This window comes from Homo sapiens, chromosome X (assembly GCF_000001405.40).
Source record: "Homo sapiens chromosome X, GRCh38.p14 Primary Assembly".
In the NCBI taxonomy this organism is placed as follows: domain Eukaryota; kingdom Metazoa; phylum Chordata; class Mammalia; order Primates; family Hominidae; genus Homo; species Homo sapiens.
This window is the reverse complement of record NC_000023.11, coordinates 130,342,144-130,366,702: the sequence shown is the minus strand read 5'-3', so window position 1 is coordinate 130,366,702 and position 24,559 is coordinate 130,342,144. Positions and strand designations below refer to the sequence as shown.

Genomic DNA, 24,559 nt, shown 5'->3' with positions numbered 1-24,559 from the left:
CTGACAAGTTAAAAAAAAGTCCAAGCACCTCAATATAGCATTCAGTATCCTTTATAATCTAACCCTTGGCCACCAATATGAGGAAAGCACCATAGTGGAGAGGTAAATGTCAGTTTGAGGTCAAGTGATCTGAGTTTAAATTCCAGTTCTCCCACTTAGTAGCTGTGAAACCTTAGGCAGCTTACTTAATCTTTCAGTGCTTCAGTGTCTACCTCGTGGAGTAATGGTGAGGATTCAATGAACGAATACACATAAGTCTCATAAGGACAGTTGCTGACACACAAAAAAGCACTCAGTGGATATGAGTTATTGTTATTCAAGATGCCACCATCTACAGGGAGCCTACCTCAATGCTTCCAAATTGAGAACTCTTGAGTTTATCACTTATCAGGCTGTACTGATGATCCGTTTGTATACCTATAGTACTTTTGTAATAACTGTAATTTCTCTCTAACTACTAAAATGGTGTCTAATATGTAATAGTTGTTAAACAAAACTGATAACAGGAGAGAAACCATATGGCAACATCATATTTTAGCCTCAATTTGTTTTCAGTAGCAATAATATCACCAGTAATGATGTAATACTTTTAGAATATTCAGTTCCCACAAACACAACAGCAGGAACTTTCAAAGCCAAAGTGAACAACAGCATAACCGTGAACTGAAATAAAATACAGGCTTTTTTCCTTAAGTATTGAGTTTTCTATTGCAGGGTCTCTGTGTTGTATGAAGTAGGCAAATGGGGGATATATTGTCTTTTCTATCAATAATTCTACATGATACTATTAATAAAAGCATCCTGTATTTTAAAGCATTCAAATGGGAATCATTATATTAAGTACCACTGCAAATTAGCAGATTGCTAAGGAGACAGCTTTTCTACCTGGGAATAACTGAGAAGCTACTAAAAAAATATGATTCTTTCATCTTCAAAATGGTATGTAGCAACTAATAATAAGAACTGAAGGAAGGTCTAAGACATCAAAGAAAGCCAAATTGTAACCCAAATCCACAATGTACTTACCTTTAAAATACCATCAACAGTGCCCTTATAGAGATCCACATGTCCCACGATTGCCCTCTGGTTCATCATGCGAGTTCGAACCACATCAACCGGGTTGGAGGCCAGAGCCCCAGCCAAACCACATGTAAAGCTGGAACTAAGAGGAAAAGTTTAAGTAGATCGACCCCACTTTCACTCCCTGCCCACTTAAACAGAAATTAGGCCAAACGTAAACTGTACAATATAACTCAGACCCATCAGATAAAACCTGGCACTTGGCCTTTCGTTACAATCTAAAGAGACAGGAAATTTTTCTAAAGAGACATCATTCAAAGGCTGTCCCTTCAATTTTCAATCTGAAACTCAGCCTTTTTTTTAAAGGAGAGTTTCTAAACCTAACAAGATTCCTAAGTAGAAAGTATCATGCACCATGTATTAGTTACATAAATTTTTCAAACCACAGCATCACATGCCAAATGCATTTGAGTAACAAAATTATCATAAAGGTTGCAAGACAAAGAAAATGTAAAATGAGATCAGTAACAGTCTTTAGCCAAAAAACTGTGCTTTAGTTTCACAGACCTTATTTACCCCTTTTTTTCTGATTCCCACTGAGAAAAGTTTGCTTTCTCAAACAAAATTAACCAAAGCAAATAATAGATGTGCTTATTAGATATAGAAGCTATGTATGGATAAATGTAAATCAAATAGACCTCTGATAGGCTGCTGTATTAGACAATGTTCCCAAGTACCCAAGCCCCCATAGCACCTGGCATTTCTGTGAAGTATAAAGTGTTCATAAGGCTTGAAGTTCTGATAATAGGAGAGACAAGGGAATTTAGGCCATACGTACCAGTTATCAAATTCCACCTGAGGATTTCAGTAAAAGAGGCTTTTTGTGCTCAAAATGCTGGAAATAAAATGAGCACATCCCATCCTACTTACACGAAGTGAGTTAAAATTGTATCGCCCATCATTCCTGACAATATTAAATGCTTCTTAGTAATATCATAGACTGGTAGCTCTACTCCTACAACGATGGCAGCACGCTGAGCAGTTGGAACCACACCCTACGAAACACAAGTGACATTAGGCACCAAGGAAATACAAAGGGAGTGATGTCTTAGAGTGAACAAAATAGGTCAGGAGTTGAAAAGTAACAGAAAAATACAAGTCTGAAGTACAGACGTCACTCTTTCAAATCAATGACTAATAATGGAACATATACAAATTTCCAATTCACTTGCTATACTAAAAATAAAATAATTGATATGACACCCAAAGCACAAAAGACAAAAGAAAAAAAAAAGATCAACTGGACTTCATCACAATTAAAAACTTTTATGACTCAAAAGACACCACTCAGAAAGTGAAGAGTCAACATACACAAAGGAAAAAAACATTTGCCGCTCATATATCTGATAAGGGACTAGTGTCAAGAATATATAAATAACTCTTACAACAAAAAAGGCAAACAATCCAATTTTAAAATGGCCAAAAGACCTGAAGATATTTCCTTCAAAAAAGATACACAAATGGCCAATAAGCACACGAAAAGATGCTAAACATCATTAGTCACTAGAGAAATGCAAATCAAAACCACAAGGACATACCACTTCATACCTACTAGGATGGCTATAACGATTTTTCTTTTAAGTAAAAGAAGGCCAGGCACAGGGGCTCATGCCTGTAATCCCAGCACTTTGAGAGGGTGAGGCAGGAGGATCACTTGAGGAGGAGTTCTAGACAAACCTGGGCAATACAGTAAGACTCTATCTCTTAAAAAAATTTTTTAAATTAGCCAGGCATGGTGGCATGTGCCTGTAGTCCCAGCTACTTGAGATGCTGAGGTGGGAGGATCACCCGAGCCTGGGAGGCTGAGGCTGCAGTGAGCCATGATTGCACCACTGCATTCCAGCTTGGGCAACACAGCAAGATCCTGCCTCAAAAAAAAATTTAAAAAAATTAAGAAAGAAAAAGTAAAAGAGCAAGTGTTGGTGAGGATGTGAAGAAATAGGAACCCTTATATGCTGTCAGTGGGAATGTAAAATGGGGCAGCCACTGTGGAAAACAATTTGGCACTTCCTCAAAAAGTTAAACACAGATTACCATATGAGCGAGCAATTCTACACCTAGGTATATACCCAAGAGAACTGAAAATAGATGTTCATACAAAAATGTGTACAGAAATGTTCATAGCAGTATTCATAATAGCCAAAATGTGCAAAGAACCCAAATGCTCATTAATTGATGAAGGGACAAATACAATGTGGTATACCCACACAATGGAATTAATATTCACCCATAAAAAGGAATAAAGTACTGATACATGCTGCAACATGGATAAACCTTAAAATCAGTATGCTAAATGGAAGAAGCCAGTCACGAAAGTCTACATATTGCGTGATTCCATTTACATGAAATACCTAGAACAGGTAAATCTATAGAGACAGAAAGTAGATTAGTGGTTGTCCACAGCTAGGAGGGCTGGGGGAAATGAGAAGTGATGGGTAAAGGGTAAGGGTTTCTTTTTGGTAATGAAAATGTTCTAAACTTAGACAGTGGTAATGGCTGCACTAATCTGTGAATATACTAGAAACAATTAAATCGTATACTTTAAAGATGGTGAATTTTATGTGAATTATCTCAATAAAGAATTTGGGAATTATCATTATAATATGTGAATTTTCCCAATAAAGCTGTTATAAATAAAATCATGAAGCAAAAATCAGTGGGGAGAAGAGAGCTTTCAGGTTTAATTCACAGAATTTTCAGATGTGCAGAAAGGACAAACACTAAGGTGACAGCAAAGGTATGAAGAAGCAAGAGGAAAAGCCAAGGGAAAGTGGTCCTTCGCTTACAAGTCCTGCTGTGGTAACATTACCAGGGTTTCACTCACTAGCACGATGCTCCTATCACAGCTCACATTACAACACAGGGTTGCTAGAGCATTAAAAGTCACATTTTTGAAGAATATTAATGACACAAGAAAACGCTTATGATAGCATGATAGCATGTTAAATAAAGCAAGGCATAAAATTATATATAGTATTATTCTATCTTCAGGGGAAAAGGTATACACACCAGGCCAAATTCTTAGGATTAGAACGAAATACATCAAAATATTTTTTTCCTCTGGTATTAGGATAAGAGATGTTAATTTTCATTTTTATGCCTATTTCTTTTTACATTTTCACAATGAATGTTTTACTTTTATAACTGTGTTTAGGTGTCAGTTAAAATTGAAAATAACATACCATGAGGACATCTGCTTTCTGGGATAACCACTATATTAAAAAGTTTTCAGTCATCTCTAAGTTCCCAAACTCAATTTATAAAGTGGGGCTGCTCTGCCTATGGAGTAGCCATTCTTTATTCCTTTACTTAATAAACTTGCTTTCACTTAAAAAAATAATAATAATAATCCCAGCTACACAGGAGGCTGAGGCAGGAGAATCGCTTGAACCCAGGAGGCGGAGGTTGCAGTGAGCCGAGATCGCGCCACTGCACTCCAGCCTGGCAACATAGCAAGACTCCGTCTCAAAAAATAAATAAATAAATAAATAAATAAATAAATAAATAAATAAATAAATAAAATGAAGTGGAAGTGACACAGCTATGCCAAGATGTTTGATTGTGCTGATATGGCTGGCTAGCCGAAGGGTGCCTTCCTTGCTGGCTCTTTGACCTGCTTCTCATAAAGAGGGTACCCTTCACAGAAGACTGCTTTGGTGAACAGTAAGGCCCCAAACTGGAGCCCACAGGCCAAAATCAGGCTATAGGCATGTTTCGAGTGGCCCACAGTGTTTCCAAAAGACTGAATTGGCTGTTAATATGTAAAAATCAGGATATTTCACACAGAAATGCAGATTTCCAGCTTCTCTTGAAAGGCCAGAAAATTTGACCACACCGGGCTCACCATCAACGCATGGCAGCAATGGGCTGGAGCTAAGGAGTAGCTGTCCTCTCTCAACGGGGACTGTGCTCTCCGTGCTCTCCAGGACCACAGTCCCCACCATGCTACTCTCTCTCCAACTCTGTGGTAAGTGCTAGTTATACTTTGTTATTGTGCTCGTGCTATTTTTTCTTACAATGAAGTTAGGAAGAAAGTGAAATGTTTTCAGTATTCATGTTACAATCAGAGCAGGAAGATAAACAAAGATGAGCACGTTTGAAGAAAAATGCAAACATATTTTCTTGTTGAAATGAAAAAGTAAGTCCTGTATTTTTAACATGCAAATAAAACATGTCTGTCTCAGAAGAATACATTCAACAATGTACTTTGCTTCTTTATGTTAGGTGCCTAGATCATGTAAGTAGCCTGGATCATAAAAACAGTTATGTTCAGTTTCTCAAAAAATAAACATAGATTTACCACATAATCCAGCAATTCCACTTTCGGCTATATAACCAAAAGAATTGAAAGCAGGGTCTAAAAAAGATATTTGCACACCCATTTACCCAGCAGCATTATTCACAATAGGCAAAAGGCAGAAGCCATTCAAATGTCCATCAATGGTTGAATGGATAAACAAAATGTGGTATATACATACAATGGAATATTATTCAGCCTTAAAAAGGAAGAAATTCTGACACATGCTACCACATGGATGAACCTTGAGAACATCATGCTAAGTAAAATCAGCCAGTCACAAAAAGATAAATATTGTGTGATTCCACTTACATGAAGTACCTATAATAGTCAAATTGATAGAGACACAAAAGAGAATGGGGGTTGCCAGGGGCTAGGGGAAGGAGAAATGGGGAGTTGCTTCATGGGTATAGAGTTTCAGTTTGATAAGACCTAAAGAGTTCTGGAGATCAGTTGTACAACAATGTGAATGTACTTAATTAACACTACTGAACCATCAAAAATGGTTAAGATGGTAAATTTTATGTTATGTCTACTTTTTACTACAATAAAAAATAAAGTAGCTATGCTCCTGTGAAAAAATCTCCAATTCTATTTATTCCTCTGTTTTTGTTCCTTGTCATCAGTTTGTGAGAAAGTTCTAGTTAGTTCTATTTTCTGGCTTTAAATTAGACATATCAAGCAAGTGTACCCTGCTGTTACCAAAAAGCAAACCTCAAGGACCATTAATGGATGCAAAGACCATTAGTTAGATGAAAGGTGATTAGATATTAGGATATATGCATATTACTAGAATATTATCACCCCACAGATTACTTGCTAATTGCAAAGGAGGGGGAAAAAACTTATGTTTTACAATGGCGAGATCTGGTGGACGTCATCTTACCAAATAATCAAACTTGGCACCACTAATCATGGGACAAACTAATATTATGTGCCTCCTGCTGTGATGCAGTATGAAATACACAGCATCACCTATGAAGCACCCTTACCAAAAATGTTTAACATGAATCTAATCAAGCCAATGGACCCTATTTACAGTTTATAGGAAATAAACTGTAAATATAAAGATATTTTCTCTATAAAGATAGAGAAACAAACACAATGAGGAAACACTTTATAAGAAAACTAGCCTGGCCAGGCATGGTGGCTCACATCTGTAAGGCCAAGGCCAGAGGATCACTTGAAGCCAGAAGATCAAGACCAGCCTAGGCAACAAAGTGAGACCCTGTCAAAAAAAAAAAGAAAAAAAAAAAAGGAGGAAGGAAGAAAATAAATTATAAATTAGCCTGGTCTCATTAACAGGAAATTCTAATATGGGCTAGATATTAGGTATTAGGGACTTGTTCATTTTCTTAGATATGATAATGGTATTATTATTATGTAGAAGACTATCCTTATTCTTAGGAGATGCACAATGAAGAATTTAATTGAGTGCCATGATGTCTGCAACCTACTTTCATTTAGCTTAGCTAAAAAGAGTGTATGTCTGTATACACGTAAACAGATAAAGCAAATACGATCAAACTTTAACAGCCATCAAATCCAGCTCATAGGTATGTATTTCATAGTTCTATTCTTTCAATTTTTCTTTATGCTTGAAATTTTTGTTATGAAAAATTATAAAGAAAAATACCAAAGCTCTCATTTTTATTTAAAAGTCTATTAATAGATTTCCCATTCCACTCTCTCTGTATATTCTACTAATAATATTATTAATATTACAATAATTAGGGATTAAAAAGTTAGAGCAACAATGACGAAAAGCAAAGTATAGATAGAAGACTGAAAGATAATATGACAAAAAGTTTAACAGAAATTATCTCTAGGCAGTGGGACTACTGGATTTTTTTTCTTTTTACTTTTCTATATTTTCTCAATATTTTACAGTACATGTTAGACTTTTTAGGTTAAAAAATTGTTTAAGGTAACAGCTTTTTTTTCTTATTCTTTTTTTTTTTTTTTTTTTTTTTGAGACAGAGTCTCGCCCTGTCACCTAGGCTGGAGTGCAGTGGCATGATCTTGGCTCACTGCAACCTCCACCTCCAGGGTTCAAACAATTCTCCTGCCTCAGCCTCCTGAGTAGCTGTGACTACAGCCATGCACCACCATGCCTGGCTAATTTTTGTATTTCTAGTTGAGATGGGGTTTCACCAGGTTGGCCAGGCTGGTCTTGAACTTCTGACCTCAAGTGATCCACCCGCGTTGGCCTCCCAAAGTGCTGGGATTACAGGCATGAGCCACAGCACACAGCCGGTAACAGCTTTTGAACATAAGCACTACAAAGACATACATCATCGTGTTAGTACAGAACTTGCAAAAAAATACACTGAACAACTACATTCACTGTGAATATGATCGAAACAGCCATCTCAAATAATGTAATAACTTTCCCCACCTATATAATCCCCAAACATTATGCAGAAATAAAAGGCCAATGATAAGTTTTGGGCCTTTCAAGGGAGATGAGGAGTTTCTTACCTTAGTTTTTGGATTATAATTCACGATTTTATGTCTTTATATAAAAAAAAATTCTCTGCAAATTGTAGGAACTGAGAGTGTAGGATAATAGCAGGAAAAGAGTACTTACCCTCCACAGACCCCTGGTGCCTTCTTGTTGGTATATATCGATAAAGCTTCCAATCATGCTCCCTTGGAACAAGCTTCCTTGAGCCTGCATTCGAATCTAAAATGAAAAGAGGTGAACATCTTATTTTGTCAGAGAGAACCAAAATGCTAAATTCATTTTAAGTTCATTTAAATTCATTTTAAATTCATCTAAAATTTAAAAAGAAGTATTCAGGAATCCCAGAAAAATATCTGCTATTATGATAAAGTTAATTAGTTAAACTGTATAGAAAAAGAATTTGTGTCAAAGTGTATTTTATAAAAATGGTTTTCATCGGCCTCACATTCCTCACACTAAGTCTATTATTTCTGGAGCTAGAAGAAAATTTGGAGAAAAGAAAGATCAAGTACTCAGCAGGACTAAAAAATGACTCATTTAGTGAAAAATTAGAAACAACTTAATATCCAAAAACAACTACACAGGTTGGTTACAGAAATTATACATTCATTTAATAGAATACTATGGAGCCATAAAATTTTGTTGTACAATGGTATTTGCTGACACTGAAAGATATCAAAAATTAATTGCTAACCAGAAAAAAAATTGCGAAGTACTATATCATTTTTATAAAAAACATGTAAACTTAAAAATATCCATAAGCACAGCAAAGAGACGAGGTGAACATATAAAACTAAATACTTACAGTGGTTTATGTCTGAGTGGTGAGGCTACAAGTAAGCATTTTTCTCTTTTGTGTTTTTTCTGCCTTCCATATTTTTCTACATTAAACATGCATTGCTTACGTAATTATAAAAATGAAAAATGTGTTTTAAAATATAATTTTATGTTTATGAGACCTTAAGTTGAGTTCTATTTATAAAAAGCATAATATTATATTCTGCCAAGTGGCCTTTGAGAGCTGCAAGAAGGAAAGATAGCATTAAATGGCCATGTAAAAGGTTTGGTACAATTTCCCACAGACTCTGCACACATACAATCCTAGTAGTCAGTCACTAAATACTAGCGGCCCAAATGTAGGCCTGATTTTTATGAAGCACCATGCTACCATTCTAGGTTTCAACAAATGTCTTTAGTAAGTCATGTAATGGCAACATGCTTTTATGCAGAAAGTTAACTGTTACTACTAAGAGTTTTCAAATATTATAATTATAAAAACCTAAACCCATTAAATCAAGATACAACCTATCACAAAGACAAATGAAAACTACTAATACACTGTGGTAAGTAGAACACTTCTTTAAGGAGGTGATTCCTGACAACAGAGGGGCTAGCGTGAGGCAAGTGAAGTACTTTTCTTAGGCATGAAATGTAAGGGAGTGCAAGAAAAACTCAGTAATCAAGATAAATGATGTCTCAATATGATATTTTTTAACCAAAATTAATCCACAAAAAGCCATAATGAATCAAATATCAAATTTAACTAAAGCTAGGACTCAACAGGGCCAGGATTAGGGTAAGGTGAATGAGATGAGTTATGTGAAATTTTGGTATTTGGTTCATCATGAATTTTTTGCGTTAATTTTGATTGTTTAAAAATACTACATACAAATGTTGTTTATATTGATTACTGAGTTTTGTGGCACCTTCTTACATTCTGCATCAAAGGGGACTGCCTTACTTGTTTTGCCCTAGTCCTGGCCCTGTTTATGAGCCTGGTCTTGAAGGACAAATTCACCAGGAAAATGAGAAAGACGTTTCAGGAAGAAAGTGTTACGTGCACAAAGGCAAAGAAGCAGTACATAGTAGATCAGATATGGATTTCGATAGATCTCTCCAGCTTCATCTGGAGATGGGTTGAGGGAGTGGGGTACACACTAGAGTGAAGGGACAAGTTAGGAGGCTACTGAGATGAGGTCCTACAAAAGGAATGGTGGGGAAAGGACAAAGTTGAGAAATACAGATGAGGCAAAATCTGTAGAAACTTGATACCTAATCCAATACTAGAAGGAAGCAAAGATATAGAAGAATCAAAGATGATCTAGGTTTCTAGTTTAGATGACCCAGTAGGTCTGGGTAGTGTGGTAGATTATTGTCTCCCAAAATCTACTCTCCTTTCTTGAAGCTAGATGTAGCCATGGAACCAAGTCCTTCAGAATGGAACGTGAACAGAAATAATGGTTGAAACTTCCCAGTGTCTTGCTTAAAAGGAAATTGCCTATATTTCAGAACAGCCAAACAGCCCCACTAAATGAGAAAAAGTTGTCCTTGGCCAGGCGCAGTGGCTCACGCCTGTAATCCCAGCACTTTGGGAGGCCGAGGTGGGCGGATCACCTGAGGTCAGTAGTTTGAAACCAGCCTGGCCAACATGGCGAAACCCCGTCTCTACTAAAAATACAAAAATTAGCCAGGCGTGGTGGTGTGCACCTGTGTAATCCCAGCTACTCGAGAGGCTGAGGCAGGAGAATTGCTTGAACCCAGGAAGTGGAGGTTGCAGTGAGCCGAGATCATGCCATTGCACTCCAGCCTGGGCAACAGAGCGAGACTCCATCTCAAAAAAAAAAAAAAAAAAAAAAAAAAAGATTGCCCTTGCAGAAGAATTCTAGCTAAGAAACATGGATGGAATGATGGAATTAGAAAATCACCACTTTGCGACCTTAAATGAAACAATCAATTCAGGTAATGGCCACCAATGGATGAAACCATTAGATGAAGGATTGACAGGAAACTACAAAGGAGAAATCGGGCTGTCACGCCTGAACCCACTGATCAACCTTAACATCCCTATATTGGGACAACCAAACACTGTGTGCCTCCTCACATGACTCGGTATGACCTTTACAGAAACCTTCCCTTTTACAGAGAGAGAAGATTTAGAGAAATAAGTTAAATGATATCACAAGGAAGCAAAAAGACAAATCCAAAACTTGGGAATTCTAAAGGAGAGCTGATCCCATTTATTTGACAAGTTAATGGCAAAAAGCAAATAAATAAATAAATAAATAAAAGGTATATGGACAGGAGTGGGGTACTCTAGAATAAAAAGGACTTAAGAAACATAACTATTAAATATAATGCATAGGCTTTGGAACCCAAGTTAAACAAATCAACTGTAAAATATAAGACAGTCTGGAAATGTGAACATAGATTATTAGATGTTACTAATGAATAAATGTTAATTTTGTTAAATGTAACAATAGCACCATGGTTATATAGAAAAATATTCCTTTTATGAGATGCACATCGAAGTATATGGGGGAAAATGACAATGTCTGGAATGTGCCTTAAAATAATTCAGAAAAAGGGAATAAAAAAGCACATGTAGCAAAATCTTAGCTACCTCCGTGATGTGTACAAAGACGTTCACTGTACTATGTTATTTTCTACTCACTCATATGTTTGAAATTGTTTCTCCAAAACTACATATTTAAAGATTTAAACTGTTAAAGATAAAAATGGAGGCAACAATTGAGATAAACCCCAAGACCAGCCACCCATCATCAGGTAACCGAACCTTAAGTCATCCTATTTCCTCGGAACTGCTATCTCTAATCATAAACACAAAACATAAGCTTTACATCTTTGTCAGAATGCTTCAGTGAAATGAAACCAATAACTATAGACAATCACCTTAAACAGCTGCTTGCCTTTAAAAGAACGATAATTTATAACAGCCAATCACAAAAAAGGTCAAAATGTTTCTGCCCTTCTGCTTTATAAACTGTACTGTAAGATAAGTTTGTTATCATTTGGTTTGAAGTATCCTGGATCGAGACCCGTACTTTCTCTTATTGCATACAATAAACTTTAAAATTTTTCCTGACTTTATTTTTGACAAATCAAAAGGAAACTGCTTTCCCTTGACTCTCTTCCCATGGGCTGGAATGTAGGTTTGATAGTGGTCCAACTTCAACTATACAGACTAAAATAATACCATAGGACAGGGGTCAACAAACGTTTTCTGTAAGGGTCCAGACAGTAAATATATTAGGCTTTGCAGGGCTTATGACCTCTGTTGTGACTACTCAACTCTGTCACTGAAGCACAAAAGCAATTATAGACAATAAATAAAAAAATGGGGTGGCTGTGTTCCAATAAAACTTTATTCACAACAGGGGGTGGGCCAGATTTGACCCACAGACAGTAGTTTGCCAATCCCTGCCCTAGGAGATGGCAGTGCAACAAAAATGAAGAAACCTGGATCCTGGATGACTACATGAAGTAGTTCTGCCTTACCAGCATTAACTGCAGTCCTCTAGATGGTTACATGAGAGAGATAAATACTTGTATATGGAGACCTTTTATTTTTGAGTTTCTTTGTGACAGTAGCTTAGCCCATAACCTAACTGATATAGTGAGAGCTAAAGTATTAAGAATGAAAAAGGCGGTCGGGCACGGTGGCTCACGCCTGTAATCCCAGCACTTTGGGAGGCCAAGGCGGGTGGATCACGAGGTCAGGAAATCGACACCATCCTGGCTAACACGGTGAAACCCCGTCTCTACTAAAAGTACAAAAAATTAGCCAGGTGTGGTGGCGGGCGCCTGTAGTCCCAGCTACTCAGGAGGCTGAGGCAGGAGAATGGCGTGAACCCGGGAGGCGGAGCTTGCAGTGAGCCGAGATCGCGCCACTGCACTCCAGCCTGGGAGACAGAGCGAGACTCCGTCTCAAAAAAAATAATAATAATAGTAAAAAAAAAAAAAAAGAATGAAAAAGGCCATCAAGGAGAGACTGAAGAGGAGAAAAGAGCTAAAGATGGAACCTTGGGTGGGAGAAGAAAAAGATTTAAAGTATATGCATAAAAAGGAAGCCCATGAATGAAGCTAAGGAATAGGAAAACTAGAAGCAGAATCTAAATAGTGTAGTAACAAAACCAAAAAAGAACTTCTAGTAGAAGGAATTAGTCAAAATAGGTTAAGTAAGATGAGAACTAAAATGTCCACTGGATTGGATAATGAGGACATTACTGCTGACCCTGTGGAGAGTGATTTCAATCAAGTAGCAGGAGTGATTACAGCAGGTTATGAAGGAAATGGAATGTAAAGATTACTCTTGTAAAATCTGGATGAGAAGGTAAGAAAAGAGATAGCATGGTGTTTTGAGGTCAGAGGGTCAAGAAAATATTTTAGGATAGAGAGATTTGACCATATTTATCATTTGAGAGAAGATAACCGGTAAAGAGGAAGACACTGAAAATAAGAGAAAGAGGACAAATGATAAAGGTCTCTGATGAAACAGAAGTGAATAAAAGTAGAGTAACCAGGTTTTTTTTAAACTTGAGCATGTATCAAAATCACTTGAAGGGCTTGTCAAACCAGACTGCTGGGCCCCATCCTACCCTTTCTGGTTCAGTAGGTGTTGGATGGGGCCTGATAATTTGCATTTCTAACAAGTTCCCAGGTAATACTGGTCTGGTCTGGAAAACCACTACAGTAAGACAAGATAAGGATGGGTATAGATGGAAGTAAGTTTACACCTGTAAGGTAGAAAGGACACGAAATTGAGAGGTATAAGGCCAGGCCATAGGAGGTGGGGTTGTCTGCTTAGAGTAAGAGGTACAAGGAGCTCTTCAATTAAATTCTCTTCATAAATACCTGTTCTAAGTCAACAAAAATAAGCATGGGGAAAGGACTCCCTATTCAATAAATGGTACTGGGACAGCTGACTAGCTATATGCAGAAGAATAAAACTGGGCCCCTACCTTTCACCATATACAAAAATTAACTCAAGACAGATTAAAGATTTAAATGTAAGACCTCAAATTTTAAGAATCCTAAAAGAAAACCTAGGAAACGCCATTCTGGGCATTGGCCTTGGGAAATAATTTATGACTAAGTCATCAAAAGCAATTGCAACAAAACAAAAAATTGACAAGCGGGACCTGATTAAACTAAAAATCTTCTTCCAACAAAAGAAACTACCAACAGAGTAAAGAAACAACCTATAGAATGGGAGAAAATATTCACAAACTATGCATCTGATGAAAATCTGGTATCCAGCATCTATAAGGAATTTAATTCAACAAGCAAAAACCAAATAACTCCATTAAAAAGTAGGCAAAAGACATGAACGGACACTTCTCAAAAGAAGACATACAAGCAGCCAACAAACATAAAAAGATGCACAATATCACTAATCATCAGAGAAATGTAAATCAAACCACAACAAGATACCATCTCACACCAGTCAGAATGGTTATTATTAAAAAGTAAAAACAACAGATGCTGGCGAGGCTGCAGAGAAAAGGGAATGCTTAGACACCATTGGTGGGAATGTAAATTAGTTCAGCCACTTTGGAAAGCAGTTTGGAGACTTCTCAAGGAACTTAAAACAGAGAGCTACCATTCAACCCAGCAATCCCATTACTGAGTATATATCCAAAAGAAAATAAATAATTCTACCAAAAAGACACATACACTCCTATGTTCATCACAGCACTATTCACAATAGCAAAGACATGGAATCAACCTAGGTGCCCACCACCGTTGGACTGGATAAAGAAAATGTGGTACATATACACCATGGAATACTATGCAGTCATAAAAAAGAACAAAATCATGTCCTTTGCAGTAACATGGATTGAGCCAGAGGCCATTATCCTAAATGAATTAATGCAGGAACAGAAAACCAAAGATAGCATGTTCTCACTTATAAGTGGGAGCTAAATATTGCATACTCATGGACAAAGATGGCAACAATAGACACCAGGGAATAATAGAGGCAGGAGAGAAGGAGGGGGACAAGGGTTGAAAAACTGTTGGGTACTGTGCTCACTATCTGGGTGATGGGATCATTCATATCCCAAACCTGAGCATCATACAATATACCCATGTAATAAACCTGCACATGTACTCCCTGAATCTAAAATAAACGGTGAAAAAAAAACTTGTTCTGTAAACCTAAAATGATATAAAAATTCTGTAAATTACTATCATTTTAGTCCAGAAAGACTGTCTCATATTTTTATCCATCAACCACCAGTGGTTTATTTCATGTGTGTTGTTTTTCATGTCTTTCTCTCTGTTCTCAAACCCCTCTCTGAATTGCAATAAATAGATCTCTCCTTTGCTAACCTAGCCACTTGTGGTTTCACTAGTGGTCAAATTTAAAAAAGCATGTGTCCTCTTACTTTTTTCTCGCAATCCCCTTAAAATAATTTGTTAAAACTTTGGGTTCCCCTCACTTATTTTAATCCTATATTTAGTGCTTTTAACTAATCATAAGCTTAAATACGTTAATAAGTAGAAAATATTTACCATTTTATGAAATAAGATGAAAATTTATATTAAAAGAAATGTTTCAGTCTGTGACTTGAAAAAACCTTAAAGAAATCCAACTATACTCTTAACAAGTCAGCACCACCAACCTATACTATTCTGGTTCTGAATTCAGAATATTCCAATACAGGCCAAAATATACCATGTTTAAAGCCAAATCTCACCCTGAATAGAAATATTAATAAGACAGGGAAAGACAGAGGCATTACAGACTTAAGATACCCAAATTGGTTACTAAAATAGGCTTCTCCAAGAACTGTATTTCAGTTTACCCCTCTGTTTGGCATCCCAGGTTATACCACAGGTCAACATACCATACCAAGATTTAGAATAGGTGGGGACGTACATTTCTTTTGTAAAATTGAGTAAGGGCTATTATGAACAGATTCATTCTCGTACCAGTTTTAGGATGGAGTACAAATGGATGTAAGAGATCTGGAAATTGATTCCTATAAAACTGCATAGCCCTTGGAAAGAACCTATAGGGTCTTGCATACCCCAGTGTGAGGACCAGTGGATTAACACATATCATAATAAACTGACTGCCATTTATTGAGCATCTACTACACCAAGTACAATGATAGGCAGTTTATATATATATTATCGCTAATCCTTTACAACTCTATGTTATAAACACTGTATTATATTCATTTTTCAAATGATGAAATTGAGGCTTAATGCAGTTAACTGATTTGCCCAAGGTTCTACAGCTGGCAAGTGACAGAGTGGGAATCTGAACCCAAATCTGACTCAAAGTTATGCTCCTTTCAAATCACACTGTATCTCTCTTACCTTTAGAACATCGGTGGGATTGGCTATAGTGGAAGATATCACTCCTGACACTACCCCACAGATCATATTAATTAAAAGAGTTTCATCTGTGAAAAGGAAAAGAAAAAGAAAGGTCTGCTTGTATTAGGCACCAGTTTGAGTACATACTACTGACCTACTGGAGGAAGGGAAACTTGGTTAGAGAGATGACTTTAGAAATGAACCAAAAAGCTTAGGAAAATAAAGAAACTCAAATATTTCTAGATCTCAATTCAGTGCTAAAATATATTAAAACTTGTAAAATATAAATCATTTCTAAAAACATCATTATTTCTAAAGGACACTGGAACACGTCCTTTTCTTCTACATAACTATCAGTATCCCACACACAAATTCAGAAGGTGGTATTTCCCCTTCGACCTTTTCAAACATCTAAAGAACATACTTTTTAAGTCTTTTTCTGGGTAATCATCAACTCTAAAGATTCAGGAACTGAATGTTAAAAGAGAAAATCTTACGTCTAATACAAAAAACTTATTTGAATATTAATTTTGATAGGCCTGAGATCTCTCCTAGCCTCTGTTAATTTATAAAATATTTCTGTAGTCAAATATGAAAAAGCAATCATTTAGAACTAAATCTCCTCAGTGAGAAAAAAGAACAAAGAAACCACAGAGCACATTGTTCTATAGTGAAATTCAATCTTTACCGCTCCTTCACACCATGAAGACCCCACAAATAGAAACTAAATAAACCCAAGTGAAGAATCTATGAAAGAAAAATATTTCAGAAAGAGGTGGAAGAGAACCCTTCACAATCCCCAAAAAAAGGCTTCAGAAAAAGTTGACTTTAGGACAATAAAGTGATTCAAAGGACATTACTAACCGAAAGGCTTTCCAGCTGTCCCCAAACATCCAACAGCCCCAGGCCTGTGGTAAAATAACCATTTAGTGTAGTATCATGATGGAAAATGCTACAGCAGCAAACAGACATATGATAATGCTGAATATGCATAAGGTAGCCAAAGGTACATCAGAATTTAGAAAACAGCCTAAAATTATTCTGCCTAATAAAAGCTTATCAAAATTGCCAGCTAGAAAATGCCTTACAGTTGAAGTCCTCTTATTGATGAAGATAGCATTAATTTTCTGGACAAGATTGTTCCATGTTTCTTTTGGGATGATCACATGCCTTTTTTGTTGATAGGAAAAGGGACAAATTTGAAGAACAGGTCTCTCTAATTCATATATCACCTCTGCAAAGATTTATTCCAAGTTAGAACAAGCTCACTTTGTCTTTGCAGTGACTCTCCTCCATTCTCAGGCACCTCATGACCAACATTTCTCACTAAGCATGATTTCAACAATCCCTTTGAGTATCACCTCAAAAGAGGGTAAGTATACTGACCTTCTAAACGTTCTACGAATAAGCGCTTCAAGCTTTGGTAAATCCCAATTTTAATGGTGCCATATGATGCTTGTCTTAGCAACGCAGGAGCAATTCTGAAAAAAAAAAAAGTAAAAAGTTATTCTCAACATTTTCAGATTATACATATCTAGATAGCCTACTTATTTGGACTACCCATCTCATTCTACCCAACAACAGCAGAATATGATTTTTTTCAAGCACTCATGAAACACTCAGCAAGAAACTGAACATTCTGGGTCATAAAACCAACCTCAACAAATTTAAAAGAACTGAAATCATATACAATATGTTATCTGACAATAATGGAATCAAACCAGAAATCAATAAGAAAAATCCTCAAACATTTAGAAATTAAACAATATATATCTAAATAATCTATTGGTCAGACCAAGTGTCTGTCAAAGGAATTTTTTTTTAATTCACAGGTCTAAATGACAACAAAATTCAACCTATTAAAATGTATGAGATGCAGCCAAAGCAGTGCTGAGGGAAATTTACAGCATGAAATGCTTGCATTTTAAAAAAAAAAAAGGGGGGGGGGGGGTAGAGTCTCAAATCAATAATCTATGCTCCTACCTCAAGAAACTAGAAAAAGAAAAGCAAAATAACCCAAAGCAAGCAAAAGAAAATAATAAAAAGCACAAATCAATGAAATTGAAAATAGGAAAATAGAGAAAAATCAATGAAACAAAAAGTTAGCTCTTTAAAAAAAAATCAACAAAATTGATAAACCTCTAGCAAGACTCACAAAGATAAAAAGACAGAAGATGCAAATAAGAAATGAAACAGGGACTAGCACTACAATTCCTGCAGCCATTAAAAGGACAATAAGAGTATGGTATAAACAACTTTATACTCATAAATTCAACACCTTAGAAGAAATGGACAAATTCCTTGAAAACCAGAAGCTACCAAAACTCAACTAGATAAAACAAATAATCTGAATAAAACTCATACCCATTGCAATGGACTGAATGTTTGTATCGTCCCCAAATCAAGATCTTAAAATCCTAACCCGCAATATGATGGTAATAGGAGGTGATTAGGTCATGAGGGTAAAGCCCTCATGAACAGGATTAGTGCCCTTATAAAAGGGATCCCAGAGAGCTCCCTCACTCTGTCTGCCATGTGAGGATACAATAAGAAGTCTTGGCAGTCTGCAACCCAGAAAAGAGACCTCAGCAGAACCTGACCAAACTGGCACCGATCTCAGATTTCCTGCCTCCAGAACTGTGAGAAATAAATTCCGATTGTTTATAAGTCACCCAGTCTATGGTATTTTGTTATAGCACCCCAAACTATGATAACCTTAAAGAATTTGCACTCTGAATTTAAATGTTCCCCAAAAAGAAATAGCCCCAGATAATTTCACTGGGGAATTCTACAAAACATTTTAAAAATTAACACTAAGCTTACACAGTTCCTTCCAGAAAACAGAAGAGGGAATGCTTCCCAACTAATTTTGGCTAGTATTACCCTGATACCAAAACCAGACAAAAACAGTACAAAAAAGGAAAACCACAGACTAATGTCTCTCATGAACTTAGATGCAAAACTCCTTAAGAAAATATTGGTAAATTGAATCCAGCAATGTATAAAAAGAATTATACATCATTGCTCACCTAATAAAGATTTTTTTAAAAAAATCAACCTCTACTTCCTAACAGTTGCAGATACGTCTTTAATCACATCAACAAGGAGGTACTAGAGCCAAAATTCCACCCTATTTAAGTTCTCCTTTAAACTGGAGACATTCTCATTCATACCTCCTTTGGGATTCTTCCAAATTGCAGAACTATACTGTAGGAGGTATAAATAGAAAGACAGCAGCAGCTCAAATGGTTAGGATTTTTAAATGATGACTAAATATGCATATTTCTGACTTTATTGCTTGCTATCAGAAAATATCTTGTGATGATCTATGCTGATGAAAGAACAAGGTGAAACAGATGATCCACAAATCAGGATGGTGGATCATCTTCAGGATGCTTCAGGATACACTACTTGATTTTTCCCCCAAGAAAATTACCTTTTAAATTAAGTCTAACATAGTTTAACGATGTAACATAGTTTAACAATAAAATTGATGTCTATTCTCTGAGTAATAAACTGGTAGCCTAGATGCAGGAGTGGCCTAGGAAACTGGCAACAGATAAACTACAAACTAGACAGTAAACCACAAAATTATGGCTAATCAAAAGGTGATGATAAAGATGGGTCTCCCTCTCTCTCATTATGCACTTTCTGTTTAAACTGCAAGAATAATATTTTTTCAAAGAGGAAAATTTTAAAGGAAGTCAGAATTTGCCAACTCAGGAGGGATATCACAAAAATATATATAATTAATTGGTGCTGTTATTAACAGTGGCTATTAGTGACTCTCGGGAAATCCACAGAAAGCCTATGCTGCAATGACATATCCATTTTAAAATGTTATTATCACTTATAACCAAATGAACACAAAATCCAAAGCTCAAGACTTACAAGCAGGAGAAATATAAACTGGCATATCAATACTGAATTACAAGTTGAAATGGTGAATATGAAACGGACACAAACTATCAGACAGCTGAAAACTATGGCTTCTTTAAAAAGCATTTCTGTTAATGATATAAGGAAAGAACCAGTCTCACCCTGAATAGAGAGCCAATACACCTTCCTCTTTACAGATGCGAAACAGCGCATGGAACATCCCTCTATATTTTATCTCTTTGAAACGGGCATCAATGCTTTGGCCTTGAACCTGAAGTCGTGTTTTGGTAAGGTCCACAGGGAAAGTCCCTATAAAGGAACACACTTATTTATAAGTATGTCCAAAGAATCACAGTTAAGTTGTTGCTAAATATAAGCCAAGGACAATATTTGAATCCTAAGACAAAGTCCTTTTTATAACACATAGAAGAGCTCTAGTAGAATACCACTGTCAGAGAACATGAGTTGCATGTGGTAAGTGAAATGCATTATACTATACATAGGCAGCACCAATTGACCCACAATATACTTCAAACTGTAATATAATAAAATGCTTTCAGATTGCCCTATTATAAATGCAAAATAATTAAATGTTGTTTTTTATTTCATCTGTAACATATAATCTGGCATTTATCAGTCTCCCTCCTGCCCCTTCCCACCCCAAGTCTCCCCACCTCTGTGTCTCATAAAATCTCCCTAAATTTTCACAAAGATAGGAAAGCATGGGATTGCTGCTCCAGATGCTCTTATATAGTGTTACAAAGTTTTGTGGGGTTTTTCTTTTATCTGTTTACAAGAAACAAATAGTCCCCTAATATTATGAAAGATAATGGCAAAGTCTTATTTGGTTCTACTCATCCTGGTCCCTTAGGTAATTCAGGACTAATACCAGCAGAGTGTTTGGGGGGGAAATTTCTTTAACCAAACCTCTTACATCAACAAACAGAAGTGGTCATCACATTGACAAAATATATTTCAGGGTGTAAAACTAACAAGGTGATTAGGTAGCTCTGGTCACTGATGACCCAAATATCACAACACCACAGGATATGCCAAGAACGTCAGTAGTCACTCATGAATAGTTTAGAAAAGAGAACATCTGGAAGATGAAAAAAACGACAATCTAAAAATATTTCAAAATCAAAATCATGTAGAAGAGAATCTTGTTTGATCTTGTTAGTACATTTTCTTCTAAAATGGGAAAGAGGTTTGAAAAAAAGGACTTTCAGTACAAATAAACTTATAAATAATTTAGCATAAAAGACTATTAATACAGAAATATAGCAAAAACCCTTATGACATATCAACTCCCTCTATATATTCATGTATTTTACTTAAGCCTAGCAAACTAACAAATCACTAAACTACCAAAAAAGCTTTCCTTAGTTTGACTTTTCTTAACTCATCTGCCATACCATCAGTAGTACTTTCCCTGAAATATTACTTCATGGCTTTGAGACAATTTTCAAAATAAGGCGAGCTTCTTATTTTTTACCTAGCTTTCACCAAAAATAACCATCATCATAAGCTACCATCTATACCGTATAATGCAGATTTGTCATTTCTCACATTCTTACCAAACTCAGCCACGATAGAGGCAAGGCCGCCATATACAAAGGGTTTCCAATTCAGACCAGACATCTCATGACTTACAGTGGTACTTTTCTGGTGCTAAAAATAAACACAAATCAGAACAAGGCACAAGAGTGAGGAGCATTTGTTAGCATCTGATCATATAATTTAGATAAACAAAATTGGCAAATAAAATAGATGTAGAAGAAAAACCCCACCAAGTGGAATGACACAAAAATGGGGGATCCTGTTTTATGTGCTGGATGATCATGAGTTTGTTCTTTACTGACATTTTGTAGGGGTAGGCGTGTGATTCACTCAGAGATCAACCTGTGCCCTTCATTCTCTCCAGTTTCTTTAATGTTATATTCATCCCCACCCAGAGAAGAGGCTTCAGTCCATCCAGCACACCCAACTTTGACATTCAACTAGATAATTACAAATGAAGGAACCCGGAATTCAAATTATATAGGCTGAGGCATCTCATAAAAGCAGTTCATGGTATTCAGTTAGCTTGATTCAGGTGCAAAGCACAGGCTCACACTACTACTCTCTCATATTCTTAGCCCTCCTATCTCTCTACTATAGGGTTTCTAGCTATATATAACTTTGTCCCCCCAACTAGGCCCAGGCTGAGCTAAGAACTTTTTCACCTTCCTTCTAGCGCCCAAAGGAATGATAGCAATATGATGTCTATCTTCCCTCTGACATTTAACGTACATCCATCTAGTGGATCTCCTTTTCCTTCCTCTTGGCCTTTTAAAACACACACATATAAATACTGTTCTTCTTTTATGTTCTAGTTCTTTAACAACGTATTCTGCTCCCAGCCTCCCTTTTCTCCTTCCCTATCCCACCCCCGTTAGACCTGTCATCATCAATCTTTTCAGCTTTACTCTCTTTTTCTGCCACTGTCAGCTTGCTCTCTCTTGGATTTTATTTTTTCCAGAGCTCTGGCCTCTAGGTTTTGCAAATTTTAGCATGTATTAGAATCATCTAGAAGGTCTATTAAAACATAGATTGTTGGGCCTCTCCCCCAGAGTTTCTGATTGGTGGTATGGCCCTGAGAATTTGCAAGATCCCAAATAACGCTGATACTTCCACACTTAAGAACTGCTCTAGGCATTGCCTACTAAATCCTGGTCCATCTGAAAGTAGTATCTGTTCTTAGCATGGACTCTCAGATTTCTTTCAAATATTCCTTTTTCAGAGCTTCACAGTATGTATACTTCTGAATTTCAAAAGCAACTTCCAAGTGGTTTATGGTGAGGAATGCAGACTCCTGAAGTCAGACTGTTAAAATTTAAATGCTAACTCCAGATTCATTTCCTGACTCCACCACTTACTAGTTCTGTGACCTTGGGCAAGTTAATCTCTCTATGCCTCCACTTTCTGAACTGTAAAATGGAACTAATAATAAAAACTATATCATAGGGTTGTTGTGAAAATTAAATAATATATGAAAAACACCTTTAAAAGTGCCTGGCATGTAGCTCAATAATTGTTAGTTAACTATCATTATTACATTTTTAAAAATTTAAGTACCCAAATTTACATCTTAACAGATATTACTTGCTGCCCACCCCTCCCTCCCATTGCCCAGTCTGGGGTTAGCAGCTATGAGTCACAGTATCCCTTTGAAGGTTTTGCTTTGTTTCCACATAAGGAATTCTCTGTAACTAAGCAAAATACAATTTTCCAGAGAAGATAGCAAACACGCTGATTAAATGTTTTAGTTACAGGCCACAAAAATCATTATGGAGGCTTCCTTTCAAGCATAGCACATATAGAGTCTGGGATAGATAGCCCTTTTGAGGGAAAGTTGTTGAAAAGAATTCTAATGAGCAAAGTAGGAATAGCCACTTCAAGTATCAACTGCAGCTGGAAATAGGAGTCTTGAAGACTAAATACTACCTTATCACCATTTCTAGCTATGCCCACATTTTCCAATTAGAATTGATAGTAAAATATGACACATATGGTGAGAGTAGAGATGGAAAAGCAAGACCATGGCATATCCCCTCTTTGAGTTTGTGAGGAAAAAATTAACTCTCCATTCACAAATTTATCGATTGCCCCAAATAGTCTTAAAGGTTTCAGACAGCTACTTTTACTTAAAGTTGTCTCTCCAAAACTTTTTCTCCTTACAACTTTTTTCAACTCTTTGTATTACAGAGAAAGCCTCTATCGGAACTTCACAAGCTGCTACCAGCCCTTTAATAAGGAAAATGTGCTCAGGGAGCAATGATGAATCAGTGAAAGGCAAGGAACAGGGAGGACATGGCAGGAAGATGAAAGACCAGTCGCTGAATCTTAGGCCAGTTAGCCCAGTGGTTCCCTAATGAAGTTCCCACAATTCTGGGGCGAAATGAAAAAAATAAGGACACTTAGTCCTTTTTTTTTTTTTCAGCTAAATGTATTTAATTTAGGGACTGTCTATTATTAACAGATCAGATTCTTCTTACGCCTGGAGCACAGGCTAACTAGCCTGTATTTGTGTACCCTTCCCACATTTTCATTTACATTTTACTGGCCCATGAAATCCAAAAATCTGGAGACCACAGGCAAAACCCACCATTGCCACAATCACGACTTCCCTACCCCCATCTGATAGTAAAATCTCTTTCACTCCAATGTTAGGAAAAAATCTTATGAAGAAATCCTGGATCATATTTGATTAGATCTGTTTTTAGACACTCCCTCCTCATATTGAGCCAAAAGTCTGTCTTCCTCTAATTTGTACCCAGTCTTTGGAGGTAATATTCAACAAATGCATTCTTTTTTCCCTAGGCAAGCCCTTCAAATATTTAAAGACAGCTATGATGTTCTCTTACATCTCATGTTTCTTGAGCTAAATATCCATGATCTTTCTCTTCATTTGACACATTATACTTCAATTACTAGAGCTTAAAATTGCACTCACTTTTTTGGGAGCCACATCACACTATCAAATCATTAAACTGTCAGCTGAAACCTCCAAGTCTTTTACATAAAGTTGTCTACATGCATGCGTGTTGTGTCACACCTATTCTACAGGTGTGCAATATTTTTTGAACCTTCTTTTATCCCTTCTATATCTTAATCTCAGGCATAAAAATAATGACTAGGATGAGGGTCAACTTCAAGATGTCCAATGT

The 24,559-nt window shown here is 36.5% G+C and overlaps 1 protein-coding gene across 11 annotated transcripts in view; it reads right to left on the bottom strand.

Annotated features, from left to right (window-relative positions):
• SLC25A14 (solute carrier family 25 member 14) overlaps nucleotides 1–24,559 on the bottom strand; it is a 33,439-nt gene that overhangs the window by 6,655 nt on the left and 2,225 nt on the right. For 4 of the 11 annotated variants that reach the window (XM_011531402.3, NM_001282195.2, NM_001282196.2 and 1 more), the window contains 7 exons: nucleotides 21,428–21,521; nucleotides 20,012–20,159; nucleotides 17,358–17,452; nucleotides 15,972–16,057; nucleotides 7,968–8,063; nucleotides 1,951–2,075; nucleotides 1,027–1,162 (listed from right to left, as the gene is read on the bottom strand). In XM_011531402.3, coding sequence (XP_011529704.1) covers nucleotides 1,027–1,162; nucleotides 1,951–2,075; nucleotides 7,968–8,063; nucleotides 15,972–16,057; nucleotides 17,358–17,452; nucleotides 20,012–20,159; nucleotides 21,428–21,521 — 780 coding nt within the window. Of the gene's footprint in view, nucleotides 1–1,026; nucleotides 2,076–7,010; nucleotides 7,657–7,967; nucleotides 8,064–15,971; nucleotides 16,058–16,835; nucleotides 16,880–17,357; nucleotides 17,453–20,011; nucleotides 20,160–21,427; nucleotides 21,522–24,559 lie in introns of those variants that run through there. The other 7 variants (NM_001282197.2, NR_104107.2, XM_047442615.1 and 4 more) reach the window with 7 other exon arrangements.